The sequence below is a fragment of the Homo sapiens genome, chromosome 1 (genome assembly GCF_000001405.40).
Source record: "Homo sapiens chromosome 1, GRCh38.p14 Primary Assembly".
Lineage (NCBI taxonomy): Eukaryota > Metazoa > Chordata > Mammalia > Primates > Hominidae > Homo > Homo sapiens.
In genome coordinates this window covers 231,242,899-231,263,230 of record NC_000001.11, presented here as the reverse complement: position 1 = coordinate 231,263,230, position 20,332 = coordinate 231,242,899, and the positions used below count along the sequence as shown (strand labels likewise).

The 20,332-nt window shown below is 41.4% G+C and overlaps 1 protein-coding gene across 3 annotated transcripts in view; it reads right to left on the bottom strand.

Moving 5' to 3' along the window:
- GNPAT (glyceronephosphate O-acyltransferase) overlaps window positions 1–20,332 on the bottom strand; it is a 36,762-nt gene that overhangs the window by 14,743 nt on the left and 1,687 nt on the right. Inside the window, exons 2-4 of one of the 3 annotated variants that reach the window (NM_014236.4) lie at window positions 12,088–12,270; window positions 2,548–2,724; window positions 379–508 (exon numbers count right to left, since the gene is read on the bottom strand). In NM_014236.4, coding sequence (NP_055051.1) covers window positions 379–508; window positions 2,548–2,724; window positions 12,088–12,270 — 490 coding nt within the window. The remainder of the gene's footprint in view (window positions 1–378; window positions 509–2,547; window positions 2,725–12,087; window positions 12,271–20,332) is intronic. The other 2 variants (XM_005273313.5, NM_001316350.2) reach the window with 2 other exon arrangements.

Sequence of the window (20,332 nt, the reverse complement as noted above, 5' to 3'; positions counted from 1 at the left end):
TGGCAAATTTGATGTTATATGTATTTTATCACAATTAAAAATAAACTTTAAAAAGTTAGATCTATTTATTGCCTAGAGAGGTAGCCATTAATATATTATCAAATAAAAAAAGCAAAAGGCAGCTAATACCTGTAAGTAGTGCAGTCTCATTTTTTAAGCCTACACCAAAGAACCCTGTGTGCATGAACTCCTGCAGATGTCTGTTCAGGCACAGTAAAGCACAGGACAAAGGACATAACTCAAGTTATTCAGTGCTAGGACTGGAAGAAAGGAGGAGAGGCTATTTTCATCATCATCTTCAAATACCTCAGTACTGCTAGAATATGCCAGTGAACTTTTTAATTTTTACAGTTAAAAAAACAGAAAAACAATACATACCCATTCCTGCTGCTATAACTGGCACAGGCAAATCATAATTGTATAGAAGAAAAGACAACATGAGGAAGTCAATGTAACTTCGATGACTAGGCAGCAGAACAACAGGATGCTCCTGGATGGCTCTTTGTAGCTTGAAAGTAAATGTTACATTTTGAATAATTTCAGTTGTCATGTTATCAAATCACATCTCAAATCAGAAAACGGAAGAATAAGTCTATATTTAGAGGGAATACCCATCCTCTTTTTCTGCCTTTTTGCCATACACATAAACGATTTGCTCTGATAAGGTAAAAGTACTGTTTCTAGTTAAACAATTTCACATAATGCAAGAATATTAAAAATGTAAATTTTTATGGATCAGAATAATAACAGTGATGATCGCTAACATATATTAGTTGGGCACTATATTAGCATCATTTTATATACAGTTATCTTACGTGCTTTGTTTAATACCACATAATTAACAAGGTCTAAGCCTTAGCTTTCTTGTTTGTAAAATGGTCATGCATCCAATAAATGGCAGAGCTGTGAATGGAACCCAAGTCAGTCTGACTTAAAAAGCCAACTGTTAACCACTGTATTGAATTGGTTGGTTGTAGTAAGAGAAAACAAAGCTTCTCTTGGAGAGATTAAAAAAAATCTACAAATTCATAGGACAAGGTGAGAAGAATGGTATTTCTCTATGTGCTGGACTCACTGCCAGGGTGAATGGGTGTCATGTGGCTGGGAGGGATAATTTGAGTTTCCAAATATACTCCTCAGGCCATCAATCTCAAGATTCACTGGTATCCATGTGTTATCTGTTTTTTTGAAATCTAAATGTAACAGAGGCCAGGTAATCTGTGATCATCACTTAAGAAATGGCTCACCACCACCCTTGGTCCCAAACACTGTAACATTCTCTGACAGATTCAGGGTATAAGTCAGCAATCTCGAAAACAGTCAGTAGGAAGAAGAAATATTTGACAGGAAAGTAAATGACTGAATTAAAACAAAATATTAAAAGGGATGAGGAGGAAGGCAAGTGAAGTTAAGAGCTTTCCTAGAAGAAAAAAATATAAAACACAAATAAGTAAAAATACTCTTCATAAGGAAAGCTCTTTATGAAATTAGAAAAGTCATCATTTGGCAATCATTAACATAATAATTAATTCAGGCAAAAATCATCAGTGGGTGCAAAAACGAGTGGGGTAAAGTATGATGCAAAACAGGGTATTTAGCCATTTTCAAAGAGTCTTTTCACAAGATATTCATTAATTATAAAGGGAAAAAATAATAACTTTACAGCAGAGAAACCTGGCAGTCATAACGATAACCAACTGATGGAAGTGAAACATCTCCAGTAATGAAACCGACAGGCACCATGCATTGCTGACACGACCCACTGAGAAGAATGCATCGCTTCCGGGGTGTTCCTAGCAAAGGTACACAACCCGAGCCCAATACTGAGATAACATCACTCAAATTCAAACCATTTCACACTTCAAAATAATTAGCCTGTTCTTTAAAAAAAAAAAAAATTAGCATGAAACACAAATACAGATACTAAGGAATTATTTTAGATTAAAAGAGTCTAATATGGAAGTGGATACAGAAGAAAGTTGAACACTTTCTAGGATTTCTAGCGCAACACATGAGCTACGATTTTCTTTAGCTAGACAGGACATGACTGGGACAACTGGTGAAATATGAGTCAGGTCAGTATTACTAGTATTTGTTCAATGTTAATTTCCTTATTTTGATACTTGTACCATAAGATAATGCCCTTAATTATAGGAAAAACACAGCAGAGTATTAGGAAAAGGATAAAGGAAATGCTGTAAGGGAATCTAGGTGAAGTATATACAGGAATTCTTTGTATTTCTTTTGTAACGTTACTGAATATCTGGCATTAAGTTAGTCTATAAGTCTTACTTGACTAAGTTAGTCTGAAGCCTGTAGGTCTGCAGTTAAAAGGAAACAAAAAAACAGAAAACAACCTTCAGAGATGCACATCCTCTTCTGCCTAGACTGGAGGCCTGATGATTAGGCCCTAGGCTTTTGATTGACCAAGTGAGCTGTCCTTGAGTTGATTAAATTGTGAGGGGTTGAAAAAGAGACTGTTTTTTTTTTTGTTTAATTTTAAGATGAGACTTTTATTTCTTTATTTTTTTAATAATCAATACTCACTTTCTGAATACCTTCTTCATTTACACACACCTTCGAGAAAATTTGTTTAAATACTTTGCTCAGGGTGAAGGCACAAAACCGAATGGCTCCAAGACGCAGTTTGTGACTCATTTCATCTAAGATCTCACTCACTTCCTCTCGGAGGACATCCACAGATTGAAGGGATTCCTTGGAAAGCTAAAAGGAAAGGAAAAGCAGGAATAATTTCTAACAACAATAACAGAAAAGTCAGAAAGCTTTACTCAAACCAGTATGACTAGTTCCAAATGGATTAATCTTCTATAACTCAAAGATAGTGTCTTCTTAATTGACAACTTCCCAACACAGTCATAGTAGATAAATGAGCCTATTTAAAGAAGTTTAAAGGCCAGAAATTAAAAGAAAAATGGCTTTCTAGGATAGCATTTTAGAGTGAAGAAAACACTTCACCTTTCCATTTGGTTTGTTAATAAGTTTATATCCAAACTCTAAAATAAGTTGCTGCCCATGGTCTAGTGTCCTAGCAAATAGTGGCTTCTCTCAGTGTATTGCTGCAGTGCTCCACCAGCTGGCTCAATGCTATTACAAGGTAATATACAAGATCACATTGAAATTACCGACTCAGACTACATCAGATCTATCAAGTCACAGGCACACAAAGTCCCAAGCTATCAAAGGATAATTAGTGAAATAAAGAATCTCACAACGGAACTTATTTTATTCACATGGCCCTCTAGCTCTTTTGTAAAGAAAATAAAATGTTTGCTGTGTGCTGGGACTGTCAAGGGCCTGGAGATGAGCAAGTCAGTTTCTATCCTTGAGGAAGCCCTGATTTGCCCATTTTCATTGTCCCCTAAACAAGCACTTTGAAATGAAGTCTGTAGGATAAGTAATCCTTATGCTTCCCAAAGGAGAGTGCTTTGCTTTAGGATGAGCTCAGAAGCTCAGAGGACAGGTGTTGGCACCCCAATTACATGTAGTGAAGAAGTATCTTACCCTTTTTTTTCATTGAGGTGAAATTCACACACTATAAAATTAACCTTTTTTTTTTTTTTTTGAGACGGAGTTTCGCTCTTGTTGCCCAGGCTGGAGTACAATGGTGCAATCTCGGCTCACCGCAACCTCTGCTTCCCGGGTTCAAGCGATTCTCCTGCCTTAGCCTCCCGAGTAGCTGGGATTACAGGCATGTGCCACCATGCCCAGCTAATTTTGTATTTTTAGGAGAGACGGGGTTTCTCCATGTTGGTCAGGCTGGTCTTGAACTCCCGACCTCAGGTGATCCGCCCGCCTCAGCCTCCAAAATTGCTGGGATTACAGGCGTGAGCCACCACACCCGGCCAAATTAATCATTTTAAAGTGAACTATTCAGTGGTATTTTGTACATTCACAAATGTTGTGCAACCACCATCTCTATCTTGCTGCATATCCTATCTTTTGGGGGGCTCAGTTCAACAGGGAGGAACTGGGATAAACTCTTTCCTCTTACCTGTGTTCCTTTGTTTTACTCAGGTTACCTGAAACAGTGATTGTGCCAAAAAAAAAAAAAAGTTTATAAATATAGTCAGAAGAGAACTCATACTGAATGGACTGAAGACTAAATGAACTGCTGAGGAACTAAAGACAGTGGCCACAGAATAATGGGAAAGTTTGAATGAGAAGTAAAGGGATGATATGAATTAAAGCAAAAAATGCTCTCCCTAGATGCAAAAGTCCTGGACCTGTTTTTTTGTTTTTATTAATTAGCATTCCACTTTTAAAAAATTGTGTTGGCTGGGCGTGGTGGCTCATGCCTGTAATCCCAGCACTTTGGGAGGCCGAGGCAGGTGGATCACGAGGTCAGGAGATTGAGACCATCCTGGCTAACACGGTGAAACCCCGTCTCTACTAAAGAATAGAAAAAAAAAAAATTAGCTGGGTGTGGTGGTGGGTGACTATAGTCCCAGCTACTCGGGAGGCTGAGGCAGGAGAATGATGTAAACCTGGGAGGCGGAGCTTGCAGTGAGCCAAGATAGAGCCACTGCCTCCAGCCGGGGCGACAGAGCGAGACTCTGTCTCAAAAAAAAAAAAAAAAAAAAAAAAAAATTGCATTAAAATACACATAACATAAAATATGCCATTTTAACCATTTTTAAGTATACAGCTCAGTGGTGTTAAAGCCTCGGACCTGTTTATAGACCAAATAGAAGAAGTCCCCTGAGAGAAAGGCTGAAGATAGAGGAAAGGGAGCAGATGCATGCCAAAGGTCTCAGAAGAGGCTGGACGGGATGACTTCCGACCACAGGGGTGTGGCTAGCTGTGACCAGGAGAGCAGGCGCCTTTTCTCTGAGACTGGACTAAAAGGGACAGATGGAAGAAGGGATCCTGAGGCTGCAGAATGTGGATCTGTATAACTCACCCACTCTCCCAGGAGCAGCCAGACACCTGGTTATAGGAACAGAGAAGGTGAGTTGGCAGATTCCAGGCTGCTTTTTTTCCTGGTCAGTCTGGAAGGAAAGATTGCAAAGGAGAATTAAGGGTTGGTGAAACAGTTACTCAGATAATCCTAATAACAGCTGGACAGGAAGAAAGGGCAGAGGGCAGAGGGCAGAACCAAGGGAAAATAGAGGAATCAAGGGACTGGTAAGAGGGATGAATTTCAGGAAACACAGCCATGAAAGGAAGTATAACCGTAAACCTATGGAAATAGTTCAAGCCAGAGATGGTACAGAGCCAAACAAGGGTAATGACAGGTGCTAAAGAGAAGGGCAGGGCAGGGTGATGGTTCAGTTTTGTTTTGGGCAACAGAATGGGTGGTGGGGCCAGCCCTGAAATAGACACCACAGCTTAGGGATGGAAGGCAGTAAAGTACAGGGGCTAAGAATTAGTTAGCTATACAGATTCTGAGGTGTATGTGGGACATACAGATTAGATGTCCAGCAGAGAACTGGACAGCTGGAGATAAAAAGTCTGAACCCCAATAATCTAGGAACAGCTAGAGCTATTGACTGGATACCACCAAGCTATAGATGGAAAGTGAAATGATGAGAATGATGGATAAAATGGACCAGGGAGACAGCAGCAGGGAGGTAAGAAGCGTGAAGGTTCAACTCTGAGAAGCACTTATGGGGCAGACAGAAGAACTTATGAAAGAGATCAATGAGGACCATCTAACATGAAATGTCACAGAATAAAACCAGATGTCACAGAAGTCAAGGTAAGATGATCCTGAAGAAGAGAGTGTGTAACAATAAAAGACACAGCAAAAGACAACGTGGAGATGAAGGGGCCCGTTGGAGATCCATGGTAACCTTTACTAGATAAGCTTCAGCAATCTGCTAAAATTGGGACCTGAATGGAAAAGGCAGACACCACATGTAGCCCACTCTTCTGAGAAGCAGGAAAAGTAGGGAAAGAGGGAAACGAGGCAGAATACATGGCCAAGGGAGGACTTTCCCCTGGATGGAAAATCATCATGCCATCTTGAGCCAGTGGAAAGGGCTGACAGGTAGGAAAGACAATACCCTTGGGAATTAGAACGAAATGAATAGATCAACAACACAGGTGAACAGGCTGGCTTGCTTGAAGGAAATGCTTTCTCCGTGACTGCAGCAGAGCAGAAGACAACTGATCTCTTACTCTATGCAATTAGGCTTTTCATTTGCCCAGCAGATACACCTTCATAGAAACCTAATATAAGACTTAACAGATGAGCAATAGTCTTATAACTAACTCCTCGCTTCATTTTTCTGACTCTTCAGTCTCTTCTCCACATTATAAACTTGAGACATCTCTTAAATGCAAAAGTAATCACATCTTTCCTTGGCTAAGACCCCTTCAATGGCTACTATTGTATTCTGTGAGATAAAGGCAGACTGAGTTAGAAAGGTGGCAGCAGAGGTGGAGATACATAGACAGGAAGAGACATTTAACAGAGAAAATTGGCCGGGCGCAGTGGCTCACGCCTGTAATCCCAGCACTTTGGGAGGCCGAGGCGGGCGGATCACGAGGTCAGGAGATCGAGACCATCCTGGCTAAAAAAGTGAAACCTCGTCTCTACTAAAAATACAAAAAATTAGCTGGGCGTGGTGGTGGGTGCCTGTAGTCCCAGCTACTTGGGAGGCTGAGGCAGGAGAATGGTGCAAACCTGGGAGGCGGAACTTGCAGTGAGCCCAGATCGCGCCACTGCACTCCAGCCTGGGCAACAGAGCAAGACTCCCTCTCAAAAAAAAAAAAAAAAAAAAAAAAAGAGAAAATTAGCAGTCTTAGTGACTGACAGCGTATGAAAGAAAAGCAAGAAGTTGAAGATGGCATCCAGATTTGTGGTGGTTTGGTCAACCAGTGCATGGAGGGGCCATTCCTGGAGACAGGGAAAACTGGGTGGGGGTAGGAGGTAATATATCTTAGACACCTGGCTCAGGGGTAGGGGTGGGAGGGGTAAAGAGTTTGACTTATACATCTTGAATTTGAGGTGCTTTGGAATTTCCAAGTGGATATTCTAGTAGACATATAAAAACAGATACATGAAACTCAAAAGAGATCTGGGCTGAAGGAATAGATATTATTTATCCATGTTCTTATTATGTTATTATTTATAATAGGGAGATGTCAGCATAAGGAAAGTACTTAAAATTCTGGCAATTAATAAAACTGCCCAGTGACTGGGTAGAATAAAACCAGAGGCTGGAATAAAATCCTGACGCATTCCATCATTTAAAGAGACAGGCAAAGGAAAAGCCCATAAAAGCAAATGAGGAATGATTAAAAAGACATGGGGCTTAGGGTGATGGTATGGTGTCATGAAAAGAAAGGAGAAAGAGCAAGAGCCAACGACTATTACAGCTTTGAAACAGGTAGAATTTACCCATAAGGAAGTCATTTACAACCTCAGAAAGAGCCATGACAGTGGATGAGAAACTGGATTCCAGCAAGTTGAGTAGTAAATGAAGGATGAGGAGGTGTGATGGTAAGCATGGACAACGTGGCCAATTTTGAGCCAGGTACAGTGGCTCACACCTGTAATCCCAGCACTTTAGGAGGCCAAGGCAGAAGGATCGCTTGAGGTCAGGAGTTCAAGCTCAGCCTGGGCAACATAGCGGGATCCTGTCCTACAAAAAATTTTAAAAAACAAAACAAAAAAAGCTGGGCATGGTGGCACATGTCTGGGGTTCAAGCTACTTAGGAGGCTGGGGCAGGAAGATCGCTTGAGCCCAGGAGTTCAAGGTTACAGTGAGCTATGATCATGCCACTGTACTCCAGCCTGGGTGACAGAGAGATCCTGTCTCTAAAGAATAACACAAATCAATTTCTTAAAAGAGGAGGAGAGAGGTAGACGAGGGGGAAGAAAGAGATAGTAACTAGAGAAGGCATGGGGTTAAAGGATGTAGGTCTATTTAAACTGGGAGAGAAGTAAATATGCTAAATGCTGATGGGAGAAGAGCTAATAAAGAAGTAGTTGAAGAAATAAGAAGGGATAGTCAGGAGAGCAAAGTTCCTGAGGATGAGGGAGAGGGTGGAATTTAGAACAAAGGAATAGGGTAGGGATTAAACTCAAACAGGAGAAGGGATTTCTTCTATTTTAACAGGAGAAAATAATGAGTACTGGATGCAGGTAAATTGGTAGATTTGATCACAGGAAGTTGAGAGAGCACTAACAATAGTTTAAATTTTCTTTGTGGTTGGGGGCAGTGGCTCGCACCTGTAATCCCAGTGCTTTGGGAGGCTGAGGTGGGCGGATTACCTGAGGTCAGGAGTTCAAGACCAGCCTGGTCACCATGGTGAGACCCCATCTCTACTGAAAATACAAAAAATTAGCCAGGCGCAGTGGTGGGTGCCTGTAATCCCAGCTACTTGGGACGCTGAGGCAGGAGAATCACTTGAACCTGGGAGGCGGAGATTGCAGTGAACCGAGATTGTGCACCGCACTCCAGTCTGGGAGACAGAGGGAGACTCTGTCGCAAAAAAAAAAAAAAATTTTTTTCGGCCGGACGCAATGGCTCACGCCTATAATTGTAGCACTTTGGGAGGCCAAGGCGGGTGGATCACGAGGTCAGGAGATCAAGACCATCCTGACTAACAAGGTGAAACCCTGTCTCTACTAAAAATACAAAAAAAAAAAAATTAGCTGGGCATGGTGGCGGACACCTGTAGTCCCAGCTACTCAGGAGGCTGAGGCAGGAGGATGGTGTGAACCCGGGAGGCAGAGCTTGCAGTGAGCCGAGATCGCGCCACTGCCCTCCAGCCTGGGTGACAGAGCGAGACTCCGTCTCAAAAAAAAAAAAAATTTTTCACTGTGACACTGGAAGAAAAACCATCTGCTGAGAGTAAGAAGAGGAGGCAGGGCTGGAAGTTCAAGGAGAGTGGGGCTGCTAAAACTGTCATTTTGGAGAATGAAAAACAGTTCACTAGGGAAACAGAATTACTGGGGAATATGGAAGGCCCAGTTGTGCTGCCTAATTATGAATTTGTACGATTCCAATCTATCTTAGTTTATGTGATTTTTCTCAGCAGCACAGCCAAGTCAGAGAAACACTGGCCTGAATAAGATCTTTTAAATTGGTAACACTTAACCTGGGTGTGCATTAGAATTATTTGAGGAGTTTTAAAGAAAAGCAGAAGGCTGGGCATGGTGGCTCATGCCAGTAATCCAGCACTTTGGGAGGCCGAGGTGGGCGGATCACCTGAGGTCAGGAGTTTGAGACCAGCCTGGCCAACATGATGAAACCCTGTCTCTACTAAAAATACAAAAATTAGCCGGGTGTGGTGGCAGGCGCCTGTAATCCCAGCTACTCGGGAGAGAGATGCCTGGGTCCTATCCCAGACCAGTTAAATCAGAATCTCTGTAGATGGGACCATGGCCTCATTTTTAAAAATTCACTAATTCAACAAATATTGATTGAATGTCTACTATGTGTTAGGCACTGGGAATACGGCAGTGAAAAAAGAGACAGGAATTCTTGCCTTCATGGAGTTTACCTCCTAGTAGATAATAATAGTAACTTTTGCAAAAGTTCTCCAAGTGCTTCTATAAGGAAGAACTAACTGCTGTTGTTAGCATCTAATTGATGAGGAAACTTGACTTCACTTATGAAATAGGCCCAACCTGATAAAACTGATAGCCTCTCCAGGATATGTAAGGCCAATAAAAACAAAGGAATAGGAGCACAGCTCATATGTCCAAATCCAGAAAACAGAGAGCAGAGATAAAAATGTTCCCAAGGCCACAAACCTGAATAAACTCCAGTTAAAAGTTAAAAAAGCAAGATCTCTACAGGCCAGCCTTAGAGCATTAGAGGCGAATTTAAAGCTTGACAACTGTCTTTCTTCTTCACTAATTAGAAACCAGAGCAGATTCCAAGAGGTCAGAGAGGAAGTTGCAGAACAAATATGGTATAACTTGAAGTCTGGGGCAATACTCCTAAAGACAAGACTGAAGACATCTCTACTAAAAACTGGAGGTAGGCCGGGTGTGGCGGCTCACGCCTGTAATCCCAGCACTTTGGGAGGCCAAGGAGAGCAGATCACAAGGTCAGGAGATCGAGACCATCCTTGCTAACATGGTGAAACCCCGTCTCTGCTAAAAAATACAAAAAATTAGCCGGGCGTGGCGGCTGGTGCCTGTAGTCCTAGCTACTCGGGAGGCTGAGGCAGGAGAATGGCATGAACCCGGGAGGCGGAGCTTGCAGTGAGCCGAGATCGCGATACTGCACTCCAGCCTGGGCAACAGAGTAAGACTCCGTCTCAAAAAAACAAAACAAAATAAAACAAAAAAACTGGAGGTAACAGGCAAAGTCAGGGAGAGGCCTTAAACATGAACGGAGTCAGTTCTGTCTATGGGGAAGACGAGAGTGAGCCACAATCTACACAAATAAAGAGGCAGCGTCAAATGTTAATATTTGGTAACCAACATCAAGCAAGAATACTGCAATTCTGAATGAGTTCACTCTCCTTACAAAAACACACTAGTTGCATACATGCTTGTTTTCCTTTAAGACATTTATAGAGGACCAAAAGAAAAAAAAAAAAGGAGAGAGCATATTCCTTAGAGGAGTTTCTTAAGAATATTTTCTCTTCTGACCAGGAAAAAAATGAGGGCATGGAGCAATAGGAGACTGCTGCTAGCAAAAATGAGGCCAGTCATTCCTTGCCACACTCCCAAAGCTATGAAGAGGATCTGGGCGGGACCAAGCCCCAGGCTAGCAACACCTGCAATGCATCCATTTATCCACCTGTGGGCCTATGACCATACAAGCACCTGGGTGATATGACGTGGAGGGCTAGCGATCAGGGAGCTCCTGCCCACCAAATACCTTCATTTTGATGTCTTCAAATCACACAGCTATAACAGAACTTAAGTTTCCCTCCCAAACTGGTTCCCTCTTAAGTTCCCTATTTCAGTGAATGGCTTTATCATCCCTGACTCTTTCTTTTCCTTCCATTCCTACACCCAACTGGTCATAAATGAAGTAGACCCCACCTCTCAAATCCCTTAAATCTGTCCATTTCTCTGTTTCTACAACCACTCCCTAGTCTAGGCAACTATGACTGCACAAAGGGATTATTCCAAGAGCATCACAAGCAGACTTCCTGTCTAGTTTTAGCAGAATGGTTTTTCTAAAACATTAGCCGATTGTGTCACACTGTATCTTGAAACCTTTCAACATCTTTGCACTGTACTAGGATAAAATACAATCCAACATGGTTTACAAAGTCCTTCATAACATGACCCTCTTACCTCTCTAGGCTTATTTCTTATTATCATCCCTTCTTTGCTCTTTGGTCTCGTCATACTGAACTAGTTTCAGTACAGTGAAAGTAAACTTTTTGCAAAAGTTCTACAGGTGATTCTAAGGGGAAGCCAGTGTTGAGAACCACTGTTGTTAGCATCTAATTGATGAGGAAACTTGAATGCACTTAATGGAATAGGCTCAACCTATCTCCTACCAGAGAAAACTGATAGCTTCTCCAAGAGAAAAGTACAAGTCTTTTCAAGGCTTCGGTCCTTAAAATAAGCCAGTGGCTCCCAAACTTTGCTATACTTTGGAATCACCTGGGCTTCTTTAAAAACTACTGATATTCCCTTCCCTGACATTTTTATTTAATTGGCATGGGGATGATATGGGGATTTTGAAAAGCTCCCTGGGTAATGCTAATGTGGAGGTTTGAAAACCACAGGAATAAGTTATTTGTTTGGCTTGAATACTCTTTCCCCACTTCACCTGCAACATCTCTAATTATCTTTTAGGCCTCATTAAAAAAAATCACTTCCTTGACTCTCTACACCAAATGAGTTGCCCCTATAATTAATTAGCGCCCCTGCACACTGGGCTCCCACTAGCATGTCTCGTATCATATTTCACTTATGCCCAGACGACATATTTCACTTACGCTCAACTCGCTCACTGTTAGACCTCTAGTCTAGTGTCTAGCAAGAGGCTAACACACACGGATACAGTAATTATTTGATAAATGTGATGAATACAGCTCAGCCTAAAAGGATATATTAAAGTAGCAAAATAAGTTATAGAATTAAGAACTTGTTGACAATGAACAAATCTGGCCATGGTTGAAGAGGGAATCACTTACCTGTTTAATGACATAATGAATCTCCTCAGAATTGAGAACACTACATTTAATATCAATTGGTTTACATGGAGTAATTCCCTTATAGACAAGAGGTGTGTAGCATTTCATTGCAAATTTCAAGTCACTGACATGCCTCCTCTCTTCTAAAATATCTTCAAACTCATCCCACTTTTTGAGCTCCTTCTGTGGATAAGGCAAGAAAGTAATGAGCACATACTGTAAAATAAATCAGGACAGATTAAAGACTACATTGGTAAGGTTTCATCTTTGACAAAATATTACTCTATGACGTGAACAGGAGCAGAGTGTTCTGATGTTAGATTTTCATATAGTAAAAAAAAGAGATGTAAAGAAAATTAGGATCAATAAATTGATACTGAGTTATCATAATATTTTATTATATTTCTGATTGCTATCATTGTCAGTATCTCTTTGGGAAATTTAATGAAGACAGCAAAGATGAGACATTAAGCCCTAGAGTAATCTGATCAACTTCACATGGTTTCACCTGCCACACTGACAAACCTGTTCCATTTGCCTCTACTTAGCTTTAAAAATTACATTAAAACAAACATTTGAAACCCAAATTATATAAAATAAAACAAAACTATATGGGTGCAAATAAAAGGAAAAATCATTCAAGAAACAAGCGCTCCAATAAAAGGTACTGTTGAGCAGTATATGGCTGTGATAACTTTCTTTTCTTCTTTTCGAGACAAGAGCTTATTCTCTTGCTCAGGCTGGAGTACAGTGCCACCATTATATAGCTCACTACAGCCTTGAACTCCTAAAGCAATCCTCCCTCCTGCCTCAGCCTCTCGAGTAGCTAGGATTACAAGTGCATACCACCAAGCCCAGTTAATTCTTAATTTTTTTTGTAGAGACAGTCTTGGCTGGGCATGGTGGCTCATGCCTGTAATTCCAGCACTTTGGGAGGCTAATCTCAATCCTCCACACTTCAAGCAGGATTGCTTGAAGCCGGGCATTCAAGACCAGCCTGGGCAACATAGCAAGACCCCATCTCTACAAAATAAAATAATAATAATAATAATAATAATAATAAAGAGGTACAGTCTTGCTCTGTTGCCCAGGCTGGTCTCAAACTCCTGGCTCAAGCAATCCTCCCACCTTGGTCTCCCAAAGTGCTGGGATTACAGGTGTGAGCTATTGTGCCTGGCCTGTGACAAATTTTTTATTTCTTATTCAGCCCCTGCCATTCAGCTTCTATCCAACCAGCCCCTGAAACTGCTCTTTACACGTCTACCAATGACTTCTGATTTGTTAATTTTTTAAAAAGTACTTTTCTGATTACAAAAGTAGTAGTAATGATAATAATTAAAGCTAACACGTATAACTGCTTACAAAGAGTCAGGACACTTGTCATATGTGCTGACACTAAAGTGTTAGGCGCATTCTAAATGCTTTAGAGGCTTAGGCACCACTCCTCTATGAAAGCTCTCCCAGAGTCCCGAATGGAATCATTCATATTTTCCCTGTCACTTCTTTTCCCACTAACTACACCTATTATGGTATGTATCCCACAACACTGTAATTGTATGCATGTCTGTCTCCCTACTAAAATGAAATTATCTCGAAGGTAGGAAAGTTCATTTTCTCTTTGTATTTCCAACATCTGGTTTTATTTGGAATATAGCATAATTGGTCAATAACTGAACTCAATAACTGAAAGATGAAATGTTGAGGTAATAGAAGAAAATACAGAATGTTAACTGAGACCACAATTTGGCATAAGAATATAAGTGGCAGCAAATAGCATTTATGAGGAGTTTATAAAAGGGTGGCAGGTGAAACATACAAACATGAACATTTTTATGTCCATATATAGAGAGACTATATGAAGGAAAGGTCTTTTCACTGTTGGAGTTCTCATGTAAAGTTGCAACCCTTGTAATAAATACTCTTGCTTATAAGGCTGGAAAACCTTCTCAAATCCCACATTTCTCATTAATAAATATATAGTTGTATCAGTTTGCGCTCTATAGACTGCAGCCAACTACCATTATATCATTTTAGGGCTTAAAAACAAGAACTTCCCATTTAGTGGTCCTGGGAGTGGAAGGAGAAAAGGATCAGAATCAGCTGGGGATATATGTATACACATATACAGTCATGCACTGTTTAACAACAGAGATACACTCTGAGAAATGCATTGGTAGGCAATTTCATCATTGTACAAACATCACAGAGTGTGTTTACACAAACTCAGATGGTATAGCCTACTACATACCTAGGCTATATATAGTATAGTGGTTAGCCTATTGCTCCTAGGCTACAAACCTGTACAGCATGTTACTGTACTGAATGCTATAAGTGATTGTAACACAATGGTACAAATTTACACATATAAACACAAAAAAGATACAGCAAAAATACGATATTATAATCTTATGGGACCACCATCATATACTGACTAAAACGTTGTTATGCATCATGTGACTCTGTGTGTGTTTGTGTGTGTGTTTATACGTATATATAGCTGACCCTTAAACAACACACATTTGAACTGCACAGGTCTACTTACATGAGGATTTTTACATTTAAGTTTTTTTTTTTTTCAATAGAGACGGGGGTCTTGCTATGTTGCCCAAGCTGGTCTGAAACTCCTGAGCTCAAATTATCTTCCCACCTTGGCCTCCCAAAGCGCTGGATTACAGGCGTGAACCACCACGCCTGGCCTATATGAGGATTTTCTGCTTCTGCCACTCCTGAGAGGGCAAATCCAACCCCTCCTCTTCCTCCTCCTCCTCAGCCTACTCGATGTGAAGTGATGAGGATGAAGTGGATTAATGACGATCCACTCCCACTTGATGAATAGTAAATATATTTTCTCTTATGATTTTCTTAGTAACATTTTCTTTTCTCTAGCATACTTTATTAAGAATACAGTACATAATACACATAACATATAAAATAAGCCTTAATGAATTGCTTATGTTATCAGCTAGGTCAACAGTAGGTTACTACTAATGAAACTTTTGGAGAGTCAAGAGTTATTGTGAATTTTCGACTGTGCAGAGGGTTGGTGCCCCCAACTCCCACGTTGTTCAAAGGTCAACTGTACATATATAAACACAGACATGTATGGGAGCGAGGGAGTCTTCAGGATAAGAACCCCTAAGGGAAACTAGCAGGCATGTATACTTTGAAAAAGCTTGCCAAATACGATCATCTACAATCCTTCCGTGGTTCTGTTACTTGCAAGGTGGACTTACATCAAGTCCACCTGTCTTAGCATATGACCCCAGGCTCTTCATGACCCCCCACCTCCTGCCTCATGACCATTCCTCTTAATCCAATAGTCCAGCTATGCCAAGACCTGCAGTTCCCTAAACACACTACGTGTTCCCAGATCTCTGATTCAAGTTGCTCCCTCTACAGAATAGCATTCATTCTCAAATATCTGAATGCCTATGTGCTTGACACTGTGGTATGTGCTGAGGATATAGTGGTGATCAAGAGAGAGACAGTCTCTTTTATGAAGAACAAGGTGGATGGTGGTACCAGTTATTGAGAGGGGCATTTACAAATGCTCCTTCCGCACTGTTCACCTGGGAAATATTTAGCCATCAACCAGAGCTTGTGTTTACCTCTTCTGTGTCCCATATTCTGGTTCTCCCCTTTACCTAGATTGAACAGGTCATCCTTTCCTTTCAGTCTTCACTGAACCCTCAATAATCGGATTTTCAAGATGGTCTCTAAAACACTTCATTAAACTCGTATTTGGTGCCTCCCTTACAAGACTGTGAACTTCTTATCTGGTAGATAAGGTGTCCTATACATTTCTGTACTCCCAGTTTCTAGTATGAACTCAAGCCACTGTAGAATGAAAAAATAAATTACAGAATGAAGTCACTTTTTGAACCCTATCGATGATGGCTCCTCAGTATTCACAGTATAAGGCTCAAATCTCCCCATTCTGGCCCTTACCCGATGTCGAATCCAGTGGTTTTTTTTTTTGAGATGGAGTCTCTCTCTGTTGCCCAGGCTGGAGTGCAGTGGCACGATCTCAGCTCACTGCAAGCTCCGCCTCCCGGGTTCACGCCATTCTGCCTCAGCCTGCCGAGCGGCTGGGACTACAGGCGCCCGCCACCATGCCCGGCTAATTTTTTGTATTTATAGTAGAGACGAGGTTTCACCGTGTTAGCCAGGATGGTCTGGATCTCCTGACCTCGTGATCCACCTGCCTAGGCCTCCCAAAGTGCTGGGATTACAGGCGTGAGCCAACGCGCCCGGCCGAATCCAGTGGTTTTAAACTCAGGCTGCACATTAAAATAACCTGGGGGCACTTCAAAATAAATACTGATATCCAGGTTCCACCTGTAGAGATTTCTGATTAATTTGGTCTGTGAGTGCTGCTCAGCTGTCCAAATTCTTTTTAAAAATACTCCAAGTGATTCCTATGTGCAGCTAGGGTTGAGTGTTCCTGCTCATTAATTGGCCTTCCCTATACCATGCTTGAGAAGTTTTTACTATCATTAAGTAAGTAAATTTACATGGCTACTCACTCAGGAACATAACACAAAGAAGAACCCAAGTAAGCCTTAGGGGAACTATCTCTCCCCCATCTTACTTAGTAGAGCAGGCCTCTCCCTACTGCTAGTGAAATAGGCCTTTCTTATACCTCCCTTTTAACTGCTCTGGAGGATCCACTCATTCAACAGATAGTGACTGAGAGCTCACAGTGTACCAGGCACTGTTTTACAGGCTGTGAATACAGCATGAACAAGGCAGGCAGGGACTGCACTGAGAGCCTACGTGTCCTTATGGAAAGACAGACAACAAATAAACAAGGTAAATTCATTTAGTGATACCACCAGTAGTATGTTGGTCAATGTTTAACCATTTAACGCTTGATATGGGAGAGCTCTGAGTTATAGCATTTGTCAATTTTTGTGGGATATACGCTCCCACCAGGGCAGATTTAAAGCTTCCAATCTGACCCCAGCAAACGCAAAGCTGGGGAGAAATGAGCAGTAGCACACAGTTATACAGGATACAGGATCTCCACCTTCCAGCACGATAGACAAATAATCTCAAGAGCACAGGTAATAGTACAATAATGAGAAAATGTTAAGTTATCAGTATTTATTACCTTTTTTAAAAACAGGATTTAATCGTAAATTTACATAATTTAATATTTAATTTTTTTTTTTGAGACAGAGTTTCACTCTTGTTGCCCAGGCTGGAGTGCAATGGCGCAATCTCGGCTCACTGCAACTTCCACCTCCCGGGTTCAAGCGATTCTCCTGCCTCAGCCTCCCGAGTAGCTGGGATTACAGGCATGTGCCACCATGCCCAGCTAATTTTGTGTTTTTAGTAGAGACGGGGTTTCTCGATGTTGGTCAGGCTGGTCGCGAGCTCCCGACCTCAGGTGATCCGCCTGCTTTGGCCTCCCAAAGTGCTGGGATTACAGGCGTAAGCCACAGCGCCCGGCTATTTAATTTTTAATAATGGCTGTGTTTTAAGAATGGGCTCACAAACTTCATGAAAATTTAACAATCAGCTCTTGCAAGCCAATAGAAGACTGCTGTAGCACACCACTGGAAAGAGAATATAAGGAAAATAAAGCTGCGGTCAGGGCATGGTGGCTCACTCTGTAATCCCAGTGATCTGGGAGGCCAAGGCAAGAGGATCAATCGTTTGAGACCAGAAGTTTGAGACCAGGTTGGCAACATAGTGAGGCCCTGTCTCTACACAAAATAAAAAAAAAAACCAGTCAGGCGTGGTGGTATGCGCCTACAGTCCTAGCTACTGGGAGGCTGAGGAGGGAGGATCACTTGAGCTCAAGAGTTGGAGGTCACAGTGAGCTATGACTATGCCACTGCACTCCACTCTAGGTGACAGAGCAAGATCCTGGCTCTAAAAATAATTAATTAAAAAGCCAAAAATTAACAACAACAAAAAAAGAAAATTAGGCAACTAATGAGGAAAATGAGGAATAGTGATTGGATAGCTGTTTTAGATTCAATGGTTGTGGAAGGCCTCTCTGAGGAAGTGATATTTGAGTTGGGACCTCAATAATACAAAGAGCCAGCAATAAAACTTCTGAGAAAACATAGCATGCCACACAGAAGGGACTATGAGCATTCGAGGGAAGAGCATTTTACTGTCTGAGAAACAGAAGGCCAGGGTGGCTAAAGCCCAGTGAACAAGAAGATTAGTAAAGTCAGAGCAATAGCAGTTAAGAGATCATGTACAGTCTTGTGGGACACTGTAGTAAGGCATCTGCATCTTTCACTTGGACTTTAACAGGAAGTCATCATCTGGATTATGGCACACCAGTGGTTACCCATCCTCAGTCTTCTTTTCATTCTAGGGTCTCACTGAATGATTTCAGGCTCACCGAATGCTATAGATACAACCTACATGCTGAAAAATCTATACATTTAGGCCAGACCCCCTCTCTTGCTCTGGCACCATATTTCTAACCCTACTTGGATCTCTTCCAAACACTATGGAATGTATCTGGCTCATAACATGATAATCCACAAGTTAAAAATCATTATATTTCTCTCTTACATCACAAACTGAACACACCCCAAACTGAATTCTATTACCCTGACCAAACCTGCTCCTCTCCCCATATTTCTTATCAATGAAAGGCATCATCATCTGCCCAGTTGCCAAATCATAGAAACCCAACAGTGAACTTCAGACTATGCTATTTTCCTTAGCCACCACATTCAAATGGTTCCAAAGGATGATGATTTACTGTCCTAAATATCACATAAATTCATCAATTTCCCTTCTTCCTGGGCTCACTGTTACTGCTTCATTACTTCTCTGGATTACTGCAATAGCATTCTAACTGATCTCCACTTTTATGCATCAGATTCCCTACCCAACCTGATTCTCTTCCTACAGTCTCTACTTAGGCAAAACAGGTTACCTATACAGATAATCACACCAGAAACCTATAGTCTTCTCAGACTTTCAAAAATATAAATGTACTTTGGAAGGCCAAGGCAGGTGGATCACTTGAGACCGGGAGTTCGACACCAGCCTGGCCGACATGGTGAAACCCCGACTCTACTAAAAATACAAAAATTAGCCGGGTGTGGTGGCAGGCAACTGTAATCCCAGCTACTTGGGATGCTGAGACAGGAGAATCTCTTGAACCCTGGAGGTGGAGGTTGCAGTGAGCCAAGATTGTGCCATTACACTCCAGCCTGGGTGACAGAGTGAGACACCATGTCAAAAAAAAAATACATATACACACATATATTTATATATATATGTGTATACACACACACACACATAGATGTAAGATTAAAATCTCCCATAAAGTTAAGATTTTATCCCTAAGGATATGTAAACACGACACATAAAATTTCTTTAGGAAATATCTGCCTACTTCCTTACTTTGTTTCTCATGTCTCCTTTCTTCCACCCAAATCTAACTAATTCTAACCCCAAATATGCAAGGGAGTAGTTTTTTTTACATCAACATCTAGGACAGTTTTCCTCTCCCTCATCTGCCATTCACAGCTCAAAAACTCAGCTCATGCCAGGCACAGTGGCTCATGCCTGTAATTCCAGCACTTTGGGAGGTGAGTAGATCACTTGAGGTCAGGAGTTCAAGACCGGCCTGGCCAACACGGTGAGACCTTGTCTTTACTAAAAATACAAACATTAGCAGGGCGGGGTGGCGTGTGCCTAAAATCCCAGCTACTCGGGAGGCTGAGGCAGGAGAATCGCTTGAGCCCCGGAGATGGAGGTTGCAGTGAACCAAGATCGAGCCACTGTTCTCCAGCCTGGCAACAGAGCAAGGCTGTCTCCAAAACAAAACAAAAACAAAAACAAAAACAAAAAAGGAAGATCAGCTTAGATATCACCTTTTCTTAGAAACCTTCTCCAAGTTCCCAAACTGGTCAGGTGCCCCTTCTTGTCTCTCCCACAACACGCTGTGCATGCTTCAATCATTGCCCTTACCATACTTAACTGTGATTGTTTGTTTACTTTTATGACTTTTTGTGCCCTTAAAGGCAGAGCCTGCATCTGTAACTTCTATATCTTGGAAACTGAGAATAATGAGTAGGATACTGTATATATTCCTAATGTTTGCTGCAATCAGCAGTATCTTCTACGCTTCTAAAGTGCTACTTTTAGATCAGAATATTACACAATAACAGCGTAGCTGGGGAAATAAAAACAGCCTGAAGTACTAAGAAAAAGTAAGGTTACCGTGGAAGTAAAGGTTATCCAGTCACAAAACAGTAGTGAG